We start from the raw sequence: 5,410 nt of genomic DNA, 5'->3' as shown, positions 1-5,410 counted from the left end.
TCAAGGTTCATCCACGGTGTAGCCTGTGTTGGAACTTCCTTTTTAAGGCTGAACATCCACACCTTGTATTTGTGACATTTGATTATTACTTGTTCATCCACTGATGGGTATTTGGGTTGCATCCACATTTGAGCGATTGTGAATAATGCTTCTGTGAACCTGAGTGTGCAAATATCTCTTCGAGGCCCTGCTTTCAATTCTTTGGGGTGTATACCCCGAAGTGGAGTTGCTGCATCGCGTGGTCATTCTATTTGTAATCTTTTGAGGAACCGCCATACTGTTTTTCACAGCACCTGACCCATTTTCCATTCCCACCGGCCGTGCGCCAGCGTTGTGATTCCCCTACATTTTTACCAACACCTGTTATTTTCTGTTTTTGTGATAGTGGCCCTCCTAATGAGTGCAGCGTGGTTTCTCACCGGGGTTTTAATTTCTATTTTTTGAATGACGGTGATGCCGAGCATCTTTTCCTGTGCTTTTGAGCCATTTGTGTCCTTTTTTATCTATTGAAGCGTCCTTTGAGTGTTTTTGAATCAGATTCTTTTATTGTTGTTGTTGCACTTTAGGAGTTTTTATATTCTGAATATCAATGCCTTATCAGGTATATGATTTGTAAATGTTTTTCCCATTGTGTGGGTTGCCTTTTTACTCTGTGAATACTGTCTTTTGATGTGCAAAATTTCTTAATTTGCATGAAGTCCAATTTGTCTATTTTTTCTTTTGCTGCCTGTGCCTTTGGTGTCATAGCCAAGAAATCAATGACAAATCCAAAGTCATGAAGGTTTTTGTTTTGCAAGGCCCATCCATTTTACAGATGAGGAGACCGAGGCCCGGGGTATTCAACAGTAATGAGTCTGGGATATTCAACAGTAATGAGTCCTTTTGGCCTGGCTGTATGTCTCTGTCCGGCCTTCTATTTATTCACTTCCCTCCCTCCCTCCCACCTTCATCAGCCAGCATACGTGAATCTGCTGGGCCATCGGGGTTTGGATGCCCCCTTCCCTTTCACAAACAACCTGTGCGACCTGGGGCTTCTGCACCTGCTGGAATAGGGGGGAAGATAACAGCACCTCCCAGGGGCTGCCTTGCATGTGGCAAATTGCTGATGACACATTAGCTCTTCTGGTAATGGCTAATAACACCCCGATGGGGCAGGGGGGAGTCCTCAGTCACCCCCGCCCCTGTGGGTGCCAGGGGCACAGCCCTCCTCCAGCTTCCTGCAGGGCCGTGCCGGCTCCTCCTTCCGGAAGCCGTTCCACTTGCAGGCTGGGAAGACACACCTGCAGGAGGGATCTGCTTTTCAGGGACTGCATGCCAGTAGTGTTTAGCAAATATTGTTGGACAAGGAAGCTGGCTTTGGGCCTTCATGCACTGGAACAAGCTGGGTCATGGATGCCACAGAAACTTATCCAACTCATTAGGAGAAAGGGGGGTCTCAGGCCCTCAAAAGAACTCACGGTTGTGAAGTTGGGGTAACTGCTAAACTGATTTAAGGGAGGCAAAGGGGTCCATGACATCACTGAGTTTCTTATGCAGCCAATGGGAACAGATCGTTTCAGCTGGAGGCTGCCGTGGGTTCTAACTGTGCCATCGGTGAACGTAAACCAGGCTTCTATGCTTTGTAATTGTGGGTTTTGGTTTTCAATGTTGTTTTCCTGACTGCAGAATGCTGCCTGGACTGATCCCCAAAGCCCTCGGGACTCCAGCAGGCACTGAAAGCAAAGATGGCCCATCGGTTGGATGTCAGGAAGGACTGTCACCTCCCTGAGGGTGTGTTAGCATCTCATCTGCTGCATCCTTGTCCCCTTGGCCCTGTGCAAGGGAAGAAAGCAAGCCCAGGCCATGGGGAGGGGCACAGGTCTGGGCTTTGGGGACCAGCCTAGCAGCAGGGTTGCATGAAGGCAGCCCCACCCCTCCTGAGCCCTATTTGTGAGGCCGTGGGGAAGGACCCCCGCCTGGGCCAATGTTCCCCAGAAGCTGAGCCTAATGTGGGTGAGGTGGGAGCTTTGTGTGCTGCTGGCCTTGCCTCCGAGAGCTGCATGATGACAATGCCGTCCATGTGCGTGGGGCCTGGGCTGTACATGTGCGCGGGGCCTGGTACTTTTCCAAGGGCTTTTCAATGCATTATCTTGTTGAAGGCTCATTTGAGGCAAGGACTCGAAGCAGACAGGAAAACAACCAATTTACTGAATCCTGAATGGAGAGGAAGCTGAATGCAGTGTGTATTTTTGCTGAATCTCAAACCAAAACAACTTTTGTTAAAGAACAAACAAATAAACAAAAATGCTGAACACTAATTCGCCAGGGAACACAGTCTGGACCGAGGCTCTGGGCAGAGAATCAGGGCAGCGAATTCCACAGCCACTTGGGTTCTGGTGGGGGCTGTGGATGGCAGGCGAGCTCATGAACAAGAGCTTTTGGGGACCTGGCAGCAGGAGCGAGGCAGGAGATGCTGGTGGGAGGGGGTATTTCAGGTGGGGGACCTGAGCCTTGAGCGAGGCAGGAACGAGGAGCCTGTCAGGGGCCTCGGGTCCTGGTGTGCCAGAGTGGAGGTCCCATGTTGGGAACAGCCTGGGACAGCTTCAGAGGTTTCCTGGGGGGTCACCAGCCCGATTGGAGTTGCACTTACAGTAATTAATCTGCAGCGGGAGGTGGGGTGGGATTTTCTAAGATGATTGAACGTCTTGAGCATTCCCCAACAGAAACGATTTCATTCCATTTGAGTTGCTTCTTTTAAGTGTCTATCTCTTCCATTTTTGGTGGCACAGAAGGGGAAGGCACAGATGGGTGTCTGTGTGGCACAGGGAGGGCCCGAATGGGAGGGGAGGTGGAAGACCCTCCACCTCACATGGGTCCTAGTGGAACTCACGCACCACAGGCCACAGACCAGTGCACACGCATGCACTCACGCACGCACCGCCATGGTGACACACGATCACAGAGATGCGCGCTTGGCCTGGAGTTCCTGCTGGAGACGGACTTCCCGGAACCCAGCTCACAGGAGTCTGCTCCCTTGGGCAGCAGGGGCCAGAGGATGGGTGGTGAGAAATCCTCCTCCTCACCACCAGCCAGAGGCCGAGTCCACAGGGACCAACACCCAGTCCCTTCTGAATGGGTCTCAGTGGCCTCTCCTGCACTCCTGAGAGTCAGGTGACCATCGATCCCTTGCTTAAACATCCGTCACAGCCTGTGGGAGGCAGCTGTCCGATGTGGTCACCCTGAGTGGCCCTGGGTCTTCTGAAGTCATTTCAAATGTCTCTGGAGCCTGGTGCCGCCGCTCCCCTGGTTTCCCACCTTTGCTGACAAAGACCTGACCTCTGGGGAGAGATTTTCCATCAGTTCTGGGGGCCTGCATCTGGGTCCTCTCCCAGGCCGGGGCCTGTACCCCTCACACAGCGCACCCTCGTAGGCTGCAGGATGTGGACTGGCCAGCCTTCCGCAACGCCAGGGTCTGGCTGCAGCAGCTGAGGCCGGCCGATGCCCTGAAGACGGCCCGATGGCTAAGTGGTGGGTGGCGCAGGAGGATTGGTGGCCCAGCTGTGACCAGAACCGGGGCTGTGGCCACGACCTGGAAATGGTCATCTACAATGACACAGCCCCAGAGCCCAGGCTTCCTGGCGGATGCCGGTAAAGCTCTCTTCAGCCTGGAGGTGCAGCCTTCAGCCGGGCTTTCCATAGCCCTCTGGCCCTGCTCACCTGTTCTCACAGTGGCCTTGAGTGTGTATGTGCAGCCCTGTGTGCCCTCAGCCCCAGGTGTGCACAGGCCGCTGGTGGCCAGATCTAGGGCTCCCTTCTCTAACATGGAGGGAGGAGGGGCCTCCCTTTCCTTCGCCTGCTCTGCTCATCACCTCCAGCTCCTGCAGCCTTTTTCCCAGAGACATTTCCATCCTCTCATCTCTTGTCCCTGTCTCTGGGATAACATCACCCAGGTGGGCCCTGGGATTCCAGGGAGGGGGTGTGGGTGGGGTCCTAGCCCCGCCTACTTGGCGTGGCCATGGTGATGCTCTCGGCCAAGTTCATCTGGGAGCACTTCCTTGGGGCTGTGCGCTAGCCTGCCTGTGGGGGCTCTGCACCAAGCTCGTCTTCCTGCACTGCTCCCCGGAAACCATGATCAAGTGGACCCAGAGCACCCACCTGCCCCCCAGCACCGCCAGCCGCCCCATGACCCTGTTGCCAGGGCTCTGGTGGGGCCTGGGGAAGCAGCCGTTGCCTCCTAGAGCCCTTTGGCCCCAGGGAAAGCCAGGCCTCTGGCTCACCCCCGTGGGCCCCCCGACGCCGGCAGGCAGGCCAGGCCAGCCAGCAGCTGGTGCCCAGCTGGGTCCCTGGTCCTGAGGCCGCCTTTGTGCCTGCACAAGGGAGACTCAGTTCCTCCCCTGCTCCCTGACCCTGCATCCTGTGTCCATGCGGGCGCACCCCTGGTAGCAGGAGCAGACGGTGCCAGCTGCCCTGGAGAAGGAGCCAGCCACCTCAGGACCTCTGCCTCTTCTGGGTGTCTCAGGGGAGGCCGGCAAGCGGGGCCTACTGCAGCACCATTAAGCAAGCTAATGACCCGTGAAGGCTCCTAACCCCGGCTGCAGCCGCCCCTGCTCAGGAGCTCCGGCTCCGTCTCCCCGGCTGCTGCCCACAATTGCTGTCATTGTGTTGGGTGACAGTTTCCTCAGACAGGGCCAGGACCTTGGAGCCAGTTCTTGCCTTTTCAGGCCCAGCCGGGGCTGTGTACACAGCAGGCAGTTAATAAATATTTGCTTGCGATCAGGCCCAGAAAGTCACCTTGATTTCCAGGGCTGTGGGGGCACATGGATTCTGGGGACCCTTGGGGTGGGGTGGCCAGGGGCTCAGGACACAGCCTAGGGCCACGTGTCCCACAGATCTGCAGCCAGGTCCTCACCCTCGGCCCTAGCTGAAGAGAGGTGGGCACTGTCCCCTTCCCTGTGGGGCCTCAGACCCAATCCCTTCCTGGGGGGCCCCAGGCAGCCCTGCTGCGACTGACAGCAAAGGGGATGTATGGCAGGGACAAGGTCCTGGCCTGTACTGTCACCCAAGCCAGTGGGAGCCTGGCTCCTGGGTGCCTTGGACCCGCCTCACCTGCTTTTCCTGGAGCCCAGGTTCAGGGGTTCCCTGAATCCTGGCGGGGCTCCCGGGAGATCCGAATTGGCTTCGGGGCCCTGCCCTTTATCACCTAGGACAGTGCCCAGGGGCACGGAAGCACAGTCGACCTCACACAGCGCAGGCTCCAGGACCCTCGAGAGACAGAACGGCCTCCGTGCAGGCTGCCGGGCTGTAGAGAGTTCAGGAGCCCACAGCACTTCCACCTGGAGTCTGTGCTGTGTGCACCCAGAAAATCAAAATGGTCAGGAAGGCCAGGCCTAGGCCCAGCGGCCCCCTGTCCTCCCCAGGTCCTGGGCTCCTG

The 5,410-nt window shown here is 56.4% G+C and overlaps 1 protein-coding gene across 1 annotated transcript; it reads right to left on the bottom strand.

Annotated features, from left to right (window-relative positions):
• Nucleotides 1-2,165: 2,165 nt before the first annotated feature.
• On the bottom strand, nucleotides 2,166-3,802 carry LOC124904942 (uncharacterized). The gene is made up of 2 exons (XM_047440632.1): nucleotides 3,402-3,802; nucleotides 2,166-3,317 (listed from the first exon to the last, which is right to left on the bottom strand). Exons 1-2 carry the CDS (start codon nucleotides 3,800-3,802, stop codon nucleotides 3,170-3,172), a joined length of 549 nt encoding a protein of 182 aa, XP_047296588.1. The 3' UTR covers nucleotides 2,166-3,169.

This window comes from Homo sapiens, chromosome 20 (assembly GCF_000001405.40).
Source record: "Homo sapiens chromosome 20, GRCh38.p14 Primary Assembly".
In the NCBI taxonomy this organism is placed as follows: Eukaryota; Metazoa; Chordata; class Mammalia; order Primates; family Hominidae; genus Homo; species Homo sapiens.
This window is presented reverse-complemented; position numbering and strand designations above follow the sequence as displayed.

Excerpts from the sequence above, each read along its gene's own strand:
- LOC124904942 (XM_047440632.1), bottom strand. The coding sequence starts at position 3,802 with ATGTTAGAGAAGGGAGCCCTAGATCTGGCCACCAGCGGCCTGTGCACA. Across the intron at positions 3,318-3,401 it reads ACATCCTGCAGCCTACGAGG|AGGTCAGGTCTTTGTCAGCA; the intron begins GTGCGCTGTGTG and ends ATCTCTCCCCAG.